Source organism: Homo sapiens, chromosome 5 (genome assembly GCF_000001405.40).
Source record: "Homo sapiens chromosome 5, GRCh38.p14 Primary Assembly".
In the NCBI taxonomy this organism is placed as follows: domain Eukaryota; kingdom Metazoa; phylum Chordata; class Mammalia; order Primates; family Hominidae; genus Homo; species Homo sapiens.
Window position 1 is genome coordinate 66,856,629 of NC_000005.10, and position 19,946 is coordinate 66,876,574.

General features: G+C 38.9%; 1 protein-coding gene across 15 annotated transcripts in view, besides 1 other annotated feature; it reads left to right on the forward strand.

Annotated features, from left to right (window-relative positions):
• The window catches only part of MAST4 (microtubule associated serine/threonine kinase family member 4), a 573,201-nt gene that overhangs the window by 260,236 nt on the left and 293,019 nt on the right, over positions 1 to 19,946 (forward strand). The window contains exon 5 of one of the 15 annotated variants that reach the window (XM_024446044.2): positions 14,150 to 14,224. The exons of the other annotated variants lie outside the window; for them this stretch is intronic. Within the exon in view, the coding sequence (XP_024301812.1) occupies positions 14,150 to 14,224 (75 nt within the window). The remainder of the gene's footprint in view (positions 1 to 14,149; positions 14,225 to 19,946) is intronic. 15 annotated transcript variants of the gene reach the window in all.
• Positions 4,013 to 4,307: a silencer, noted in NCBI's record as "tiled region #1390; HepG2 Repressive non-DNase unmatched - State 24:Quies, and K562 Repressive non-DNase unmatched - State 22:ReprW". NCBI's record gives its function as "represses a minimal TATA promoter and a strong SV40 promoter by Sharpr-MPRA in HepG2 and K562 cells {active_cell/tissue: HepG2 | K562}" and the evidence as "EXISTENCE:reporter gene assay evidence [ECO:0000049][PMID:27701403]".

Consider the following 19,946-nt stretch of genomic DNA (forward strand, 5'->3'; position numbering starts at 1 on the left):
GAAGACACATACTGACTGATTGCCTTCCTGATTTTAAATCTGATTTTGCTTATATCTGATTTTGAGTCAAATACTGTGCATTTGCACAAAGACAGCCCTTATGCCCATATTACTGTAGGAAGATCTTTGGATTGTGCTTTTTATTAAATTAGACTGTCCTCTTGTTTTAAATATTGACCTGGACAAGAATTATGGTGATATGGCTATATGTCCAGCTGTTAAATGCAGTCTTTAAAATAATTTGAAAAGGTTGTGAAATGCTGAATAACATAGAGAATGATATAACAAACACCTCTCTATCTGACATCTAAAATTAAAGTTTACATTTTGTCATTTTTCTTCAGAGAGTACTCTTTATAAAAGCAATTGGATATTATAAAAAGAAGAAAACTTAAAACATAAAGGAAATGTAACAGGACCGAAAACCCCTCCTCAGTCTTTTGTTCCCTTCTCTGCCCTCCCTCCCAGAAGCAAACACTGTCATAGATTTGATATGCACATTTCTAGTTTGTGTTTTTATTCTGTCATGTACGTTTTGGAACTTTTTTTCCCCACTCAGAATAGATTTTTAGATATCTACATTGATTCATACAGGTTTAGTTCATTCATTTTAAGTGCTGGTTACTATTTCATCTCATGAATATACCACAGTTTATCCTTTCCCCTAACAATAAACATGTTAGGTGTGTCTAGTTTGGGTTTTTGTTTTCACTGTTACAAACGATACTTCAGTGGACATCCATGTGTGGATTGCTTGCTGTCTGTAGGTGAGTATGATTGTAGGATCTATGCCAAGAAGCAGAATTGCTGGGTTCTATAGTATACACATTTTTAACCTTAATGGATATTGCAGTAAACTTGTCAGAGTTCTGAATCATTGTACACTTCTACCAGCAGATCTGTTTTCTTTTATACCAACATTTTGAGACTTTTTGATTTGCACTATTCTGATGGGTGTGAAGTGATGACTTTGTTGTTTTACTTTAGTTTTTACTAAATTACACCAAAGAGGTTGTGTATCTTTTTATATGTTTAGTGGTCATTTTGGGTTTCATCTATTCTAAGTTGTTGGGTCATATATTTTGTCCACTAATTTTATTATTTCCCTTTTGCTATTAATGTATCTGTTTTAGATATTAGAAATATCTTATTTCAGTCTGCTGTTTTCTTTAAAATTTACTTATGGTGTCGTTTGTCAAGTAGAGGACCGAATTTTAATGCAGTTCAATTTTTCAGTCCTTTTTTATGAATTTTACTTTCTCTACCTATTTAAGAAATATTTTCCTATTTATAGGTCATAAAATATCTTTTTTTCTAAATTTATTTTTTCATTTTTTTATTTTTTTGAGATGGAGTCTCACTGTCTCACCCAGGCTGGAGTGCAGTGGTGCAGTCTCAGCTCACTGCAACCTCCTCCTCCTGGGTTCAACTGATTCTTCTACTTCAGCCTCCTAAGTAGCTGGGACTGCAGGTGCATGCCACCACGCCTGGCTAATTTTTATATTTTTTACATATTGTAAATACTTTTGTATTTTGTACTCTTAGTAGAGACAGATTTTACCATCTCTACTAAAGATGGTTGGCCAGGCTGGTCTCAAACTCCTGGGCTCAAGTGATCCTCCCGCCTCAGCCTCCCAGAGTGCTGGGATTACAGGTGTGAGCTACCACACCCAGCTTTTTTTTTCTAAAATTTTAAAGTTGTGTTTTGACATTGCTTTTAATTCATCTGATTTTTGAGTATGGTGTGAGGTATGGATCAAATTTATTTTTCCAGGCAGAGAGTGAATCTGTGGTGTATCATTTACTTAGTGTGTCTTTTTTTCTTGTTTGTTTCACCACCTCCAGTTTATACTACATTCACATTGGTGTTAGGGTCTGTTTTTCAGTTCTCTACTTGCCCCAGTCTATTTATTCATGAGTGAATCCCACATGATTTAACAACTGCAGTTTTGTAATCAATCTTGACTTTTGTAGGGCACGTCTCTTATTTTTGTTCTTCTTTTATTTAGAATTGATTTAGATATTTTTGGCTATTTATGCTTTTAAGTAAATTTTTAAAATTGTTTAATTTCACCAAAACATATCTACTTATAATTTTGGTTAGAATTACAGTGGCTCTTGAAATTAATTTGGGGAGTATTTGAGCCTTTCCTTCTATGTATATGGTATATGTTTCTGTTAATTCTGTATTCATTTGTGCCTATTAAGCTGTTTTACACTTTTCACTATATAGATGTTGTTCATCCTTTGATAGATGTATCTCTAGATACCTTATGATTTTTATTGCTATTGTGAATTATATCATTTTTCCTTCAGTGTTTTCTAGTTGGTTATTACTAGTATATATAAATACTATTTATTTTTGTATATTGATCTTGTATCTAAAATCTCTGAGCTCTTTTAATCAAAAATAATATGTATATTAATAGAATCTCATGATGTTTTAGTAGAGACATTCTATCAACTGCAAATAGAATAGCTTTCTAGTTATTTGCTTCTTAATTTTTCTTCTATTGCATTAGTGAGGACTTTTAGTATCTTGATAAATCACAGCAATATAACGCTTCTTATTTTGTTGTGCAGCATGAGAATTAAATACTGCCTCTTTTTCTTGTCTCTAATCTTCCTTTCTGTGATCTGTTAGACATACATTAAGATTTCTTATTCTGTCCTCTCTGTTGGTAATTACCATTCTACCTTTTTGGTATTTAGACATTCCTTAATACTATACTACATGTAAGTATTAAAATACTGGAGTTTTTGTTGGTGTTGGTATTTTAATTTAAGACACAGGTCAGTGTCTTCATTGACCCTTGGTTCTCTCTCCAATCCTACCACCCCTGTCCTTTCTTGCCTCCCCATTACCTTAAACCTGTTACCTTTCCCATAAACCCCCAGGACTGTCAATTCATTGACATCTTTAGACTGTGTAACAGATTAAGGGGCATCTGTATTTTACCACCTATTTTTTATCAAATTCAAAGGTAATTAGAAAGCAGTGATACTGAGGAATGAATTAAATGTTCTGGTTTTGAGGAAGCTGGGTGAAGGCTTGTCATTGAGTGCAATATCACATGAGATGAGTGATTTAAATACAAGAGGAAGAATAACTTAATGAAGACAGCACGGTCCATGAGCATCTCACATCCTCAGAGTGTGTGATAGCAGTGATGGCAGAAGAGAGTGCCGTGCTGCCTAAGGGCCCATCATCCTAAAAGTTAGGCAGGCATGCCTGAGACTGTAGGTCATATTGTTTATGGCTCTTTTAGAATTGAACTTTTAATAGAGCAATAGACTTTGGTTTAAGTAGTTACTTGGAAGTCCCCAAAACATCTCAGCATACTTGAGGTCACTGAACTTAAAAAGTCAAACTGATAACTCAGTGCCACCTTAAATAAATGATTTGATATATTTTATTAATCAGTTATGACTAAGGAGAGGCTCTTTGGGGTGGTAGTGAGGAGCACAGACCCTGGCCAAATTAGATTTGAATTCCAGCTCCACTTATCAGCTCTGTGACCTCAGACACATTTTTAAACCTTTTATACCTTTATTTTCTCATCTGTAAAATGGGCATAAAAATAGCATTTCCTGGGGCTGTTATAAACATTACAGTAGTTGATACATGTAATACACAACAGAGTGTAACACATAGGAACTGCTATATGTAACTGCTAACTATTTAAAAAATCACAGATCCACAAGGGTATCTGCTCTTTTAGAGAGCAAATTATTGCCTTGCAATTTTATTGAGGCAATAAAAAATGCTATCCTGGCATTTTATTTTTGCCCATAACAGAGGTTCACAATTATGAGAAGTGGTGCTTATAGCTATAGGTCATGGAATACTCCTTATTCCTTTGGGAATGCTTCAGGATTAAGAATTAAGGAGTTGAAGACAGAAATCTTACAATGTTTCTTTAACTATCTTTCAGCTGCATAAGATTAGCACATTTTTCTTGGCAAAGATCACCTTTTTCGTTTTTTTTTTCTGGAGTATTTTTCGTCAGCAGCCTTTCTTGTTTTTCCTTCCAAACACTTCCTGTGCTTCTATCTTTCTGTCATCTGCCCTTATTCTATTCCCCATGCCTCAGCACTTCCCTCCCACCTCTTCCCAGCCGCGAACTTAAAAAAACAAAACCAAAAAAAAAAAAAAAACAAACAAACCAAGTTTGTTCATTGATTGTTTAGCATGCTTCCTTCCTACTTTGCATGCCACTAGGCGCCTGGGACAATCAGAGTGGAAGTATGCTGACAGCATGGGAAAGGCGCTGTGCATGGCGGAAGCACTTTCATGATGGAGTTGGGATCCCTGGCTGGTGGGCAACAAAATGCAGCACCTGAGTCTGGTGCTCGGAAGGCCAGCTATGGGGCCATCTGCTCCTAGTCTGGAGTTACTGCTCAGTTATTTTCAAAGAGGTTTGCTCAGGATTTGCCTTATAATTGGGTCACAGTAACTGGAGGCACCTATTACATCCTTCTGCTACATGTGATTTATTTCGGTGAAGATGGGGGATCCGAGGTATCAGTGGTCCCACAAAGTCTGGAGCTCATGGGGACCTGAAGCCCCTATCTGGGCTCTAGTGCTTTCATTCAAAAATGTAAAAAATGCTTAAAATCCCTGTGAAATCAATTATGAGGAGTTTGTAACTGGAAGTGAATTGGGTCAGTGTTAAAGGTGATACAAATCAGCAGGTGCTGAGAGCCTTCTTTGTGCCACTAATAACCAACATTTATGAAGTGTTTACTCATGCCACGGATGTGCTGAATATGGCATAGGCATATCTGACAGCCCTATGGAGGTAGCTGTTATTATCCCCATTTTACAGATGGGGAAGCTGAGGCTCTGCTAGGCATGTAGAGCCAGAATACAAACATCTGTGGGTCATTTAGACCTTTTTCACTATGATAGAGAGTGCCTTCCACACATGCTATGTGAGCCCCACAGGGCAAAGCCTAGCAGTGGAACCACTGTGGGGAGCCAAAATGCTGTGTTTTACATTCTCCTGGTAAAAGTAGGTGTTAAAGAGTACAGAATGACATTATGGCAGTGTGACCTAAACATGAATGAGGATGATTTCGTTTGCATTTGTTTGAAATATGCAGAGTTCATGTCTTCTGAGCCTCAGGGCTTTTATTAATAAGAGGGAGGGATAAGATGACCTTTTATCCATATACCCCACCCTAGAATTTATAGTGATTACACCCCGGTAGAAGATGTGATTATTGTTGTGTTATAGATTAACACTGTTCTATTAGGTGTTCAGTGTTGTAATGATGATTGGTGTGTATGTGGGCTCTTCATCTGTTTCACATAGGAACCTGTGTGGTAAGAAACTGCCAGATGAGAGAGAGTTCAGATAAATGCTATCCTACCCCAATCCGCAAAGCCAGGCTGCTTCTCCTTTCCTGCGACCCTGGCCATTCTGTTCATGCCTGCTAGCACAAATGAAACAAGTCAAAACAGGTTTGAGGAGTGTAGCACATCCCCTGCTTAATTTAAACACCAATCAAGTCTAATTATCAGAGCCATATTACTAGTTGGCAATAATTTGCTTTGGGTACAACTTAGAGCTATGTTGAAAATTTTATTCTGCCTTCAGAAAATTGGTTTACCTTTAGATTTCCCCGCCAAATTTCCCAGTGGAAAATTGGTTCTCTTAATTTAGGTATCTTGTAATTTCACTCATTAAAAAATGTGTGCCATGTGATATCATTAGATTTTTTTCTAAACTGAAGGGACATAAGTGGGCTGACATATGTGCTGCAGTATAATTGTGCTGTGTTTTTGGAGCTTCAGTCAGTAATTACAGCCATAAACTTATTGTCTATGGTAAAATATGTTAACTGGTATTTGACATAAAATTCATTAATTTGAATCGATATGTAATGTTTTAAAATGCTCTAACAAACGATCATTGACCGATGGATATAATATAGTCTAAGACCCACACATTTCTCTATGAACAGCAGTCAAGGTAAATGTTTTCTAAATAGTTTGTCAATGCCATGATTTCCAAAACACACATATTATGAAGGCTACCAGAAATTTGAACTATGACATGAGCCCAATAATTGAATTTACTCGTCTATAAAACAGAGTGTCTTGGATATTTTTGATCTTTGTCAAATTGAACTAGCTTTCAGGCAGGGTCTTGGAATTTCAGACTTCAAATCTCCATGCCTAATTACAGATTCGGAAGCTGATGTCCAGGAAGGCTGAGTGACCTGGCCCTGTATGTACCACCAGTTTGTGGCCAGGAGGAGAATTGTGTCAGTTTCTCTTCCTGCTATCCCTCAGAGAACTCCCTTCTCCATGGAATCTGAGTGGATTCTGTACAGAATGGCTTTTCTACTTTCCTAATGTTGAATAACTTTAAAAGGTAAATTGAAGTATAACAGGGTTGGGAAGTAAATTTGAATTCAAAGTAAGAATTGCATCAGGAATCCAATCCCAGGTTTTTCTTTTGAGTTGAGACTGCAGACCTACAAAAATTACAGTAATGTGAAACCTTGACAAAAGAAAAATCCCAGTGATTAGATATGTGGGCTTCACAGATAATATCTAGTTCACCCCTTCAGCATTTCTGGGAAGTGAGAGCCAGAGGAGAAAAACTACTGTACAGCTTCCCCGCTCAAATTGTTTGCCTCTTGTCCCATCAGACACATAGGCACGTCCACAGTGTTTGTTTCTAAAACAGAAAAATTTTGAAGGTGAAAACCACTTGCTCTTTAAAAAACTGGGACTGGGCAGAGAAGGAATAAGGAAAGGAGTCACTGTGGTTGCAGCTGCCTTTGGCCCAGTGATTGTGCAGGTGCCTTCCGGCTTCGGTCTGACCTCCAGATCCCTTTGCACCTTTCCCCATGTCTCCCTCCTCCTTGTTTCCCTCTCTCTCCTCCCACCCCTACCTCTTTCCCTTTTTCTTTTCCTCTCCCCATTTCTCATGCTTTCTTTTCTTCCCTCTGCACCCTTTCTTCTTCTTCCTTTTTCCTTCTCCCACCTCCTCAGCTGCCACACGTCAGGCCTCTGGTGTCTGGTTGGGTTCAGCCCCATGGGGAGATCCTGGCAGGAGACAGGAGACAAGAAGGAGGGAGAATAGAGAATGTGATCGAAATCATTGCTCCCTGGCTCCCTGCTGGTGGCTTTAGCACTGGATGGCTGAATGCTTTACTGAAAAAAGAAGGGCACCTGTCAGGTGACCTCTTCTCTTTTAGGTTCTGGAAGCAGCTTCCTCCCTTTCCTCTTCTGGCCTAGGGGTGGAAAAAGAGCCCTACTCCTTTGTAAGTAATCCCTTAATCAAATTCTTCTCAAGCCACCCAGTGTGAGAGTTCAATGTGTGTTTTGCAGGAATCCTGACTGAAACACTGTGTGTGGTTGAGCTGATGATGGGTAACTATGCATCCCACACACACATATACACTTACTTCATTGATTGGTTTAATAAATATTTATTGAACACCTACTAAGTGCCAGGTAGAAAACAAATGAGACAAAGTTCCTGGCTTTATGGAGCTTACAGAAAGACAAACATACATATACAGTATTATGTCCAGTAATAATAAATGTTATAATGTAAAGATGGGGAAAAGGAGTGATGGGAGCATCCCTCTTTTAGAGGAGGGGACATTTGAACATTCCTGAATGAAGCATGGGCATTCTTTGCAAAATACTTAAGGGAATGTTTTCCAGTGAAGGGAATCCCAGAGATCCTGTGTTGAGAACATTCTGGGAGAGGTTTGGGAACAGCGCAAAGACCAGTGTGGCTGCAGTGAAGTAAGAGCCGGGAGCGGGCGAGCCATAGGAATCCAGACAGGCCGCCAGGCTGGACCCAGAGAGTAGAGGGAAGGGCAGGGGAGGTATGGGAGGAAAGTGACATGGTTTGTCTTATGAGGGCATCTTTGCATATTACGGCATCTTCCCTTGGTAGAATACAGAGAGCAAAAGTAACGGAAGAGAGATATGAGGCTATTGCTGAAGTCTGGATGACTCAGATGGTGTTATGGGTTGAATTATGTCCCCCCCCGAAAATACATGGAAGTCCTAACCCCCAATACTGCGGATGGGATGAAGACACAAGGAGAAGACCGCCATCTAGAGGCCAAAATTAGGCTTGGAACAGTTCCTTCCCTCAGCCAGCAGAAGAACCAACCCTGCCAACATCTTCATGTTAGACTTCTGGCCTCCAGAGCTGTGAGACAGTTTCTGTTGTTGAAGCTACCCAGTTTATGATACTGTGTTACAGCAGCCTTAGCAAACTGACACAGATGGCTTAGATGAGGTTGAGGACACTGGAAGTAAGAAAGGGTTGAATTTGTAATATATTATGAAGTTAAAACCGGTAGGATTTGCCGAGGCATTAGACATGGGGCAGTGCTAGTTGTTTGGCCCATGAAAGAGAGAACAGGAGAGAAAAACTGAGATCAAGGGTGAGACAGTAATGTTGACTCCTGAGTCATTAGAGCCACTGGGTAGATGGTGGTGTTCTTTGCTGGAGATGACAAACACTGGGGAAGGTGGATTTGGTGGGCAAAAGTCAAGAATTGTCAAGGGACGTGTGAAATTTGCAGTCCCTGTTTGACATCTCAGATAGTTGGAAATGTCAAGGAGATGTGACAGAGTCATACATGCCAGCTATGGTGACCATCACACTCTACCACTGCTGCCTCTGAAACTATAAAGCTTGGACCACTCATTTCCACTGAGAGCCATGCTTTAGAATTGGTTTTTCAGAGGTAGGGTGGGCACCACTGGTTGCATGCAGGATTACACTAGTCAGTACACAAATAGTTTTAATTTAGCATTTAATATTTTTAAATATGTATAAGGAAAAATGCATATTACAAAGACATGTTTTCAAGATGTTATTACATAGGCCATCATTAAAATGGAAGTATTTAAGTTTTTTTAAAAAGTCATCTATTTAAATAAAACTATTAAGAAAATATCACATGTAGTATATGTAATAGTACTTGTGCTACATGGATATGGAAAAAATTAATAAATGACTGAAAGTTTAGGACACAACCTAAAGCATTTATAATGAGCTCCCTAGCCCTGTCTCATCACAGTCTAAAAACCACTTTCTTAGGGCTGTTTTTAATTACAAGTCACATCATCAATTCAGTAAGTAAAGATCAGCATTTGTTTGAAAAATCTGGAAATAGGCCAGGTGCGGTGGCTCACGCCTGTAATCCCAGCACTTTGGGAGGCTGAGGTGGGCGGATCAGTTGAGGTCAGGAGTTCAAGACCAGCCTGGCCAACATGGTGAAATCCCATCTTTACCAAAAATACGAAAATTAACTGGGCGTGGTGGTGCATGCCTGTAATCCCAGCTACTTGGGAGACTGAGGCAGGAGAATCGCTTGAACCCTGGGGGTGGAGGTTGCAGTGAGCCTAGATCGCACCACCACACTCCAGCCTGGGTGACAGAGTGAATCTCCATCTCAAAAAAAAAAAAAAAAAATCAGGAAATAGAGTACGTTGCTGGTAGTTGCTGCGAAAAGTATTGGCAAGTATTATTTCATGATGTAAAATATGAACATTAGGGTGAAAAAAGTTAGCTGCCGTCGTAGGGTCTGCATTTCAGCGATGGGGAGATCCCATTTTGGTGACTCACTTCTCAAGCTAATTTGAAAAGTCTGCGTTTAACTGGACTTTTCTGGAGATGAGAGAAAATGATCTCTTCTCCTTACAAGGTTATTAATAATAGAAGTTTCATAAATTGTGATTAGTTCTGTGGGTTTTTAGAAGCCTATGATGTCATAATTGAAAATGTGCTCTACTTCTAAACGGCACATTTCTTTGATGTTCATTTGGGTTTCTGATCCCTATTTTGATAGGCTTGATAATGGTTAAATCTCCCTGTCTTACAGATTCTATCAATTGACTTATTTTCATGGAATATTTTTGACTTTGTATAATCCTGTATGGCTTTACTTACGTTCAGGGATCTCTTTAATAGTGCCTATTTGTAATGGCTTTGTTACATTTAAATGTAGTGTTTAGTAAGAGGTTTGGTTGGGGGTGAGATATAAACTATCTCAGAGGTGAGTAGATAAGTTTATTCTTCTCTGAAAATGCATGTGATTCTTTTCAGAATTAAAACTCTTTTTTATGTTGTTGCTTTTGTTTTTTCTTTTGAGCCCGGGTCTCGCCCCATCATCCAGGCTGGAGTGCGGTGCGTGATCACGGCTCACTGCAGCCTTGAACTCCTGGGCCCAAGTGATCCTCCTGCCTCAGCCTCTCGAGTAGCCAGGACCATAGGCGTGGGCTACCACGGCAGGCTTTTTTGTTTGTTTGTTTGTTTGTTTGTTTTTTAAGTAGGTCTCCTCATATTGCCCAGGCTGGTCTCAAACTCCTGAGTTGAAGGGATCCCCCAACTTCAGCCTTCCAAAGTGCTAGGGTTACAAGCGTGAGCCACTATGCCCAGCTAATTAAAACTCTTTTGAATGGACTTTTAAGAAGCAGGCTGGGAGGCCCTCAAATATATGCTCCGATATATGATTTTCTGGTTTTCTAGGCTAGAAATGCCTAATGACAGATTTTTTTTAATGGAACTAATGCTAAAATTATAGATATACTTAGTTTTAAATTTTCCTTGTGCCTCTCCTTTTGATATACAATAACTTATACCTGATTTAAAGAATTAGGCTTTTATAAATCGTCTGATGTTAGCAACTAAATTCACTGGGCACCCATTATTTCACGCCTGATACATTGTTTTCCATAGAGCATTCTTGTAAATATGTTTACATGATGCAAATTAAGCTAAAGTACTAAGCTATCAGATCTGTAATGTTAGGGGAACAATAATTTATTTAAAAAGTATGATCTGTAGTGTTAAGGGATATTTATAATTTCTAAAATGACTTAATAAGAGAAGGCTTGGTGAAAGCATTTAGCATAGAGATGAAATATGTCTCATTAAGTTTCTTCATTATGCACATGTCAACTCTTCTTTTGTTAGTCTCTAAGAGTTTATTTACATAACTGAGAGTTGCTTCTTTTATTAATGATAGTTATCCCAGCAAAATGATTTTGGTTGGGTTCACATGAGCAATAGAATGTGCTTCCTTTTTCACAAAACTAATGGTGAGGAATCCACCTCTTCCTCAGCCAGCTCCCCTTGCAGTGAAGAGCCCTATTTGCATATGTAAATAAGCCATTCAGTTTAGAGCCCTGTGGGGCTTGCCCAGATCTAATTTGTTATTTTGCTGATGTTGATGGCATTAACCAGGAGGTGAGTGATACCAGGAGACTGATATCTCAGTCTGGAATGACAGTGCCAGAGTCTGAAGGCTGTCATTTAGAAAAAGAGAAACGCATTCTTAGAACTTAGAATTTGGGAAAATGAAGTCACAAATTTTGCCTTTAGTGTTGAGTGACATAATTTAATGTTTTCCTGAACACAGAAAGCTATGTGAACAAACCTGTTATATAGGATCATCAGTTCCCTGTGATACCACTTATGAGAGCCCTGGTTGCTTTTTCAAAAATGCATAAAGTATTACATGATTGAACTGATAATAGCTGTACTTAAGTGACTAAGCTCAAAGGTTTAGAGTTTGTACCTTTCTTGGATGTGTCATAGGATCTGGTAGGTAGCAAGACTGGGAATAGGGAAAGAAAAATATTTTCAGGTAGGATCTCCCTATAGTGAAGAAGCAGGCATGTTCAGCTTCTGAGGAATTAAATTCTTCTCAAAGGTTCCCCTCTTGGTTCTAGCTATGTGCACCTTTCCACAAAGTCTCAGTGTCACCAAACTAACATATATATATGTGTGTATATGTGTATATATATGTATATACATATATATGTGTATATACGTATATGTATATATATACGCAAATAACCATCACAAACTTTTTTTTTTTTTTTTAGCAATAGGATACCAAGTGACTAGTTCATTGAAAATTAAGGTTAGTTTAAGGTATCAGTCACATGGAGAAAAACTTGTGGTGAGCTGTTTACAGTTCCTTTATTTTCACTCCATATGCAATTTATTAAATGACTTTAATCCTCCAGGCTCTTCCTTGTTTCTATGAAGATGTATTACTGGAATTTCTGTGTAAATACATTGATTATTTCATAGCCCTATTTGTTCATTACAAGCAGACTATTGTTACAGATTTATTGTACTTGAAAATAAATTACATAAAATGGACACCAGGTTTCAAAAACCTAACCCTTAAAGGATGTGCTTGCCCTCTTTAAATTAGTCTCCCACCTACTGGGAGTTTAAGATTCAGATCCTGGGTTTAATATCAACATCTGCCCCCTGCCGAGTTCATGGTACAATTAGCTAATTAAAAAATAAAATAACATTTTCACCTTGGAGTCAGAAGAAGAGCAATAAACCACAGGCCCAGGATTTAGTTAATTTGCACATTGACTGTAACTGTGTATTTAATGCTGAGATTAATTTTTTTCCCGATGAGTAGGAGCCTGGCACTGTGCTTTAGAACTCTTAAATCAGTTGTAATCATTCCATAGGGAAGGTTAGTAAGGGCGGTTCTTCACATAGATTAATGAGGATAATTATTTATTTACATTTGATAACTTCTTTTAGGGGGAAAAAAGGTTTAAAATCACCTTCTGATAAACCATTAAGTTGAAAGGAGCACTTTCACATCAAACTAAATAAATAATCCATGATGCTGTTTTTCAAACACTGTATTTCTCATGTGAAAACTCTTGATTCTATGGAAATGGGAAGACATGCTCAGGTTTTTGCTTGGTTTTGTTTTGCTCAATGGTCAGTGGGTCAACGGATAGATTCTCTGTTCTTAAAGCTTTGGTACATTTTCTAGGTCAGCCGAGTTTCAAGACTATTTCCTTGCATTTTTTTCCCAGAGAAGGTAGAGAAAGAATGCATGTTGGCAGGGCGGTTACTAGGAAAAACATAATCCTGACTGGCAATCTGCTACTTATAACATTTCCTTTTTGAAAGGTAAGCATTATACTGTGAACGCCGAAGCAGTGATTATGGGCAACTCAAGTGGGTGTGATTGATACATGTCTTAAAAGTATAGAGCTGTTATTCCTAGACGAAGAAGAAAAAGAATACTTAAGTATTGTAATATAGAAATTGCATTTTTATCTAAGGAGGTCTTTTCACCCTCCTCTGTTAAGAGATCTGAGCAAATGCTAGCCCTCATCTGAGGGTCATTTCGCTGCTGGTGTTGACTCTCACTTGCATGGGGCCTTTAAAGCCAGGGATTTTGTGAGACCATCTCTCGGTTGCTTTCATCAACCTTTCCCTGGAGTTAATGCTCACAGTGGGTAGTACTTGCTTCTTAAGTTTGTTCACTGTTGTCCAGCTCTGAGAGGTGGAGAAGTAAAACTCTATACCATTAATGAGGCCCCATTCCAAACTTCCCTTTTAAAATATAGTACCTTGGGTGGTGTGTTTGTGTGTTTGGCATGGAATGAATAATAGGAAGGTGTTATGCCTTTCCGTGTGACCCATATGTCCAATATGTATATGAGGGCATTAACAGGATCGGTCTTAGGAGAGACCACTCTTTTACATAGGTTTAAATTACAGACTTAATGCTAAATCTCTGTTTCAGCCAATAAAATACAATGTGCATTTAGGGGCATAGTTTTTGGTGGCTGTCAGACACTACGAATTCTGCCAGGATGATGGACACAGGAGCTTCTGAGGCAGGCGACTTGTCATGGTTTGGAGGAAGATTGTGATTTCCACATCATTTTGTTCATATCTAAATGGGTGGGATGTCTAACCCTAAGAAGACTCCGCAGTGCTTTCTGTTATTTCAGGAAGATGGACTTCATATTCAGAGAAATCATGTTCCAGTTTCCCTTAGTATTTTTGAAATACAGACAATTATCAAATAATAGGAAAATGTAGATTTGATGGGAAATATCTTAATACTGGGTTGTGTTTGTGACTTTATTACACACTTGCACATACAAGTTTGTTTATAATAAAATAACTTGCACATCACATGTGCTTTTGTGGGGGAGAACGTGTCTTGTGTTTTTGTTATTGATGTTTAGCTAAAACAAAATACAGTGCCGTTAAACACTGTCCCTCTCCCTTTTCTGACCATTTCTCCATCATCCCACACCCCACCTTCTCCCTTCCCACCTCTCGTTCACTCCCCATCTTCCATTCACTGTCAGGAAGGGCAGCCTCCGAAGAGCCATTTCAACTCAGCCCGACATCGCCAGAGACTAGTGGACCCAGCTGCTTCAAAAGTGAGTGTGTCCTGTTGCCCTGGGCAACGGGTGTGCATGGCGGCGTGGTCCCGCTGCGGTAAACAGGGTGTGGGGTTTTATTTATGCTGGTATATTCCAGGGCTTTAGAATATGGATATTGAGAGGAGTCAAAGTCTTCTCTATTAAATCAAGACCATACACGTCAGTGGTGTTCTGGTAAGTGTTTAACAACCAGTCCTGAAAAATGAAACAAATCCCTGATGGTAGCATTTGCTGGTTTCCCTGGTGTAGATACTCCCACCCTGGCCAGTTTCCGGTACCAGTGTGACATCCCCGAACTCAGAGCTGGGAAGAGAGGCCCAGTGGAACACTGTTATATAGTTGTATTATGTAGTTTTTCCACCGTATAAATACAATTGATGTAAACCCTCTTAAAATGTAGCAAACTACATAGGAAGTGTATCAGTTTTAAGTATGTGTTACCCTTGTTTTCAATGTAATATATTTACTTTAAATTTAGATATTTTTAATTCACAGTAATGGCTATTTTTAACAACTGGCTTGGAAAACTGAAAATTTACCAAGCTGGGATGGGTTGGCTTCAGGGCAGCAGTTATACATGTTATGTACGTGTTGAGAATAGTCTTAAGCCAATTGGTCATGCCCAACTCTTTTTAATAGATAGCAGTAGCCACAGAAAAGTGGTTGAAGTTTTGTGTGAGGATTTGCTCATCCCACACAGCTCAACTAAGTCTCAGGCCAGTTCTGTGTAACAGACTTTAATTGAACAGTTATTAGCAGACAGGCACGAAGCATTCATGAAGCCTGTCCTGTAAACTCAATGAAGTTCCAGCTTTCTGGCGTTTTTAAGTGCTCCAGTCAAATTTTTCCAGACGACAGTTCCACTCCAGGTCAACGTGTCAACTTTCGAGAGGCAGGATTCTCTCACCTTTTGAGTGGACACCAGGGAATGGGAATCCTCTGACCCAGTTGCTGGACATAAGGCCATTTAGCAACTGATCATCAGATGTCCTGAGGGTAAAAGTTGTAGACATCCCTAGATTCTCATGCTCTGTTCATATAAGGGTGGAAAATTTTGCCAATTCACTTATCTTAAATACCACTAGTTTCATTGACGAAAGCCTGTTTTTAAACATCTGCCATGTGAGCAGCAAGCCACTGATACTGATTTCACCAATGAAAATCCATTTGAGTATGCCAATTAGCAAAATCTCTGGTGTTGACTAAGACACAGATACCTCTGATATAATGCTAGTTTACCACCCTTGGGAAGTAAATTCTGATTAGAACCACTGACTGTGTATAGGATATAAATTTTTTGTTTGTTTGTTTGTTTGTTTGTTTGTTTGTTTTGAGTCAAAGTCTCACTCTGTCACCCAGGCTGGAGTGCAGTGGCGTGATCTCGGCTCACTGCAACCTCCACCTCCTGGGTTCAAGTGATTCTCCTGTCTCAGCCTCCCAAGTAGCTGGGACTACAGGTGCCTGCCACCATGCCTGGCTAATTTTTGTATTTTTAGTAGAGATGGGGTTTCACCATGTTGGCCAGGCTGGTCTCAAACTCCTGACCTCAGGTGATCCACCTGCCTCGGCCTCCCAAAGTACTGGGATTACAGGCGGGAGCCACCACACCTGGCCAGGATATAATTTTAATCCATAAATATATTACATTTTCTATGCTGAAGTGTTTGAAACTAGACTACAGATGTCATAGCTCTTTGTCACATTCATTAAGTGTCTAGGGCATCCCTTCCCGCCGAGCCGCAGACAACTCACTTTAGCTCAGTAGCATCGAGGTGAAGTCCCGGGAGTTCTGTTGGTACATGAAGGAAAAAATAGACTAGCTTCGAATAAGTCATATGGTTTCATCATGTAACATGTGAATTTTGCTAATGTAGAGCACAACTCAGAGTACGGCGGGGCCTTCTTGGACCCTACCTAGGAGTTTTCACTAATGAGGCACTAAAATACTGGGTGCATTAAGTACATCCACTGTTATACACAGCATGCACCTCATGATCAGTGGTGTTTTAAGGACTCAGCTCAGCATGTGCTTTTGTTCCCCCTCTTTCTTTTGTCCTGTATTCATTTCATTCTGTCTTGGCATTTGCAGAAATACTGTGCCTCACCATGCAGTGTGTTCTATAGTACACTATAAATTAGCTAACTTTCTTCTACTGGTGGTGAGAGTCTTTTTGCTGTTCCATTTTGTTTTGAGCAAGAATCATGGCTTCTTTTCCTAGACAGACTTTAAGAGGAACTCATTAAACTGCCACAGAGAAGATGTCTGTTGCCTTAATGTGCCGTGTGAATTGGTTCAGCGACATTACCAAATAGGTTTAAAAGGTCACATTCTTTCCTCCTCAAAACACTGCGGTAGTAGAAATTTGAGGAGGGCCTAAAAATGTTTTCTAACCTTAGGAAGCCATAGGAGAAGCCACGGTTTGCTGTGTGGATACATTACTTGGACAGTAAATGGCAAATGGAAATGTGCATGTATGTAGCTAGTGACCTTTCTTTATAAGCACACTTTGCTTAGATTCTGCACTATGTCATTTTCAACTCAATAACCTGAGTCGTAGTGAAGAATTCTTACAAATTACAGGTTCCTATATTCTGGGGGTCAGTAACAAATTACGGTAAACCAGCTGCCAAATCTTTTGAGAACACTGATTTTATTGTGAGTCTACGTTGAAGAAGTGTGTTCCGATAGAAATGTTTAGCTTTACAATGGCAATATGATATGGTGCAAATAATAGACTGGACTGGATTGTATGTTAGGCTTTGTCATTAACCAGCTCTGTGGACTTGGGTGATCATTTAACACTGAGCCCCATTGCTCTAGATTTTCTCATCTATGAGGAGAGTATAAGAAATGTTCTGTTAATCAAATTATGGAATTGTTGCATTTTTCCACTAAGGCTCCTTAGAACTAGATATATCACCATGTAGTCTGAGATTTTCGACTGCTATTTCTCAATCCTAAAAATCTCTCTACACATGTCATTCCTTATTCCTTGCAAAGTATTATTATTAGGCAGTCTTCTCTCAGTATCTTCAGAGGAAGTTAATTTTTAAAAGAGAAATTACTTTAAAGCTATAGGGAAAATATGGGCCAGAAATAAGGGGCTCATTTTCAGCTCAAGGAGTTGGCTTTTTTTTAGCCTGATTTTTTTCTTTGTCTTAGAAAGCCTTTTGTACTTTGAGTATAGAAAAACAAGCTTTTAAATCTGTTTTATTAGACTAAGAGTAAAGGGTTAGGGGGAAAACAAAGATAAGTATTGTGCCTCTGATTGGCTAAGCTTGTCTGCTGGGAATTTCTAAAGTGCCTTTCACTTTGAGAATATGCTCACCTGTACTGTCCCTCAGTATGAGCTCCGTAATACAGCAAATGAACAAAGAATGAAGCAAAACGGGCAATAGGAATAGTAGTTCAAAGACCATGGAGCAGTTATTTGTAGAGCTGGTAAAGGCCTCTGTTAAATAAAAATCTATTTGATATGGGAGCATCAGGGACATGATCTGGTGGACAGAAGGGAACACGAGAGTGTACAGAGGATTAGTTTTCAAATCTGGCATTTCAGCACAAAAGAATAATGATGATTTATTCTAGATGAGCTGTCATTTTACATTGGAAGCTTTGCTGATCCAGAATAAACAGGTTCATAAAGATGGTATGAGATTTTGAGTATGTGAGAGCAAATAGTGGTAGGCATAGCATCTGATCAATTTCAAAACCCGAAAGTGTTGTAACAGTCTACCCTTCTTTAAAAAACAAACCAAACTACCCAAATTCACAGATAATCCAACTTTATATAAACCTGCATATAATTCTAAAATACATGGTTTCGGTCTGCTGTAGGGCTTGAAAATCTTTTATCCTAATTCTCAGCAATTTCTTTACCTTTCTCTAATGATAACAAGGTTTCTAAAACCTGGGCTTTCCTGCTGGGAAAATCAGCCCAGAGCTATCTCAGAGCAGATGGTCTTCTTTTCTCACTACTATAAACCTTTTAGGATTGATCCTTTTTTTCATTTTTACCTATCTGAAGAATAAGTGTCTTTGACACCTTAGAAACCCACTGTTCACAGGGGACAAGAAGCTGCCTTGGCCAGAGTTCATAGTTGCATAGATGATATAATATAAAGGTAATGGAAAATCAAGGAATTGTGTTTCTGTCTGTAGCATCAAAAAAATAGGTTGATTTTTAAGCACTAAGGGGATAGGCTTTAAAATGTCTACATTTTTGAGCCTTATTATGCACTGAGTTTCTGGATGGTAATTAACACCTTCCTAGTCTTAGGAATTTCAAGTGTTAAAGAATAATTTCTTCTTTTTCAGAGGGTGCAATACTAGTTACTATATTTAAGGACATAGAAAGATGAGGAAGGGATTGGAAGACTGGTTGCCATAATTATTCTGGGAGTATTTTAGTCACATAAAATGTTGTACTATGTAAACTTTATAAAAGCCTTCAGGGATGATAAATTTCTAATAGAAAATTCTGAGGCAGCTTATAGTTTTTTTGTGTTTTTACATCAGTCATCCATAAATTATCTTTGGTCCTAACTAAAATGAGCATGAATCTCATTTCTGAAACTTATTAACTATGACTTTGAGTCAATTACTTAATCACCCTGAGAAAACCACAGCTTCCTCATCTGAAAAATAGGGAACAAAAGCATCTCAATCTCATCAGGTTATTTTGAAGATTAAATGAGATAATGCATAAAAAATTTTTACCACATGGTCAGGCACTTAATGAGTACCAAATTATAACAATCTTTTAAGTTATGATTACTGTTACCATAGTTATTTGGTAATCATTATTTTTTCCCCTCATTTGTAAATAAGCAGTTAGTACCACATGATTGTTGAGGTAAAATGTCTGCATTATTAAAAGTCTATACAGTTCTATGTATTTTTTTTATTAAAAAATAATTTTAGAGACAGAGTCTCACTTTGTCACTCAGGCTGGAGTGCGGTAGCACAGTCTTAGCTCAGTGTGGTCTCTTAAGTCTTGGGTTCAGGTGATCCTCATGCCTCAGACTCCCAGGTAGCTAGGACTACAGGTGCATACTGTCACACCCAGCTCACGTTTTTATTTTTATTTTGGTAAAGACAGGGTCTTGCTATGTTGCCCAGAAATGCTCTCAAACTCTGGGGTCAAGCAATCCTCCTGCCTTGGCCACCCAAAGTGCTGGGATTACAGGTGTGAGCCACTGTGCCTGGCCCCAGTTCTACTATACTTTTTAAAAAAATGCTTATCGTACACTCAGCAGTGTGTTAGCCATGGAGGAATATAAATTGCAGTGTTTAATTCTTACCCCCAGAGTGTCGTTTAACTGGCAAAAATAAGTAAATGAAGCAGAGACAATAAATGAATTGCCTGGTAAACACTATCAATGCAATGTTGATTTTTGAGTGGAGGGAGATCTGAGTGGCAGCCAGAGAAGGTGTCCTTGAAGTGGTGGTTTTCCATGTGGGCCTAGAAGGTGAGGTGGGACTTTTTAAACAATATGAGCTTAGGCCTGTCCATTATGTGAATGCATGCAGTAGTCATCGGTTGGGCCAGGAGATAGGGGATGTGACACAGGCCAAGAAGAGGTGGAAGGTATGCTCTTGTCATGGCCCTCTGTGGTGGGAGACACTGCAGCTCCGAGGTCATGTGCCCTATTTTCAAATTGTGTGTACCAGCTATGAAGCCAAGGGAAAATCTTGTATCAGTACAATGGGGGAAGT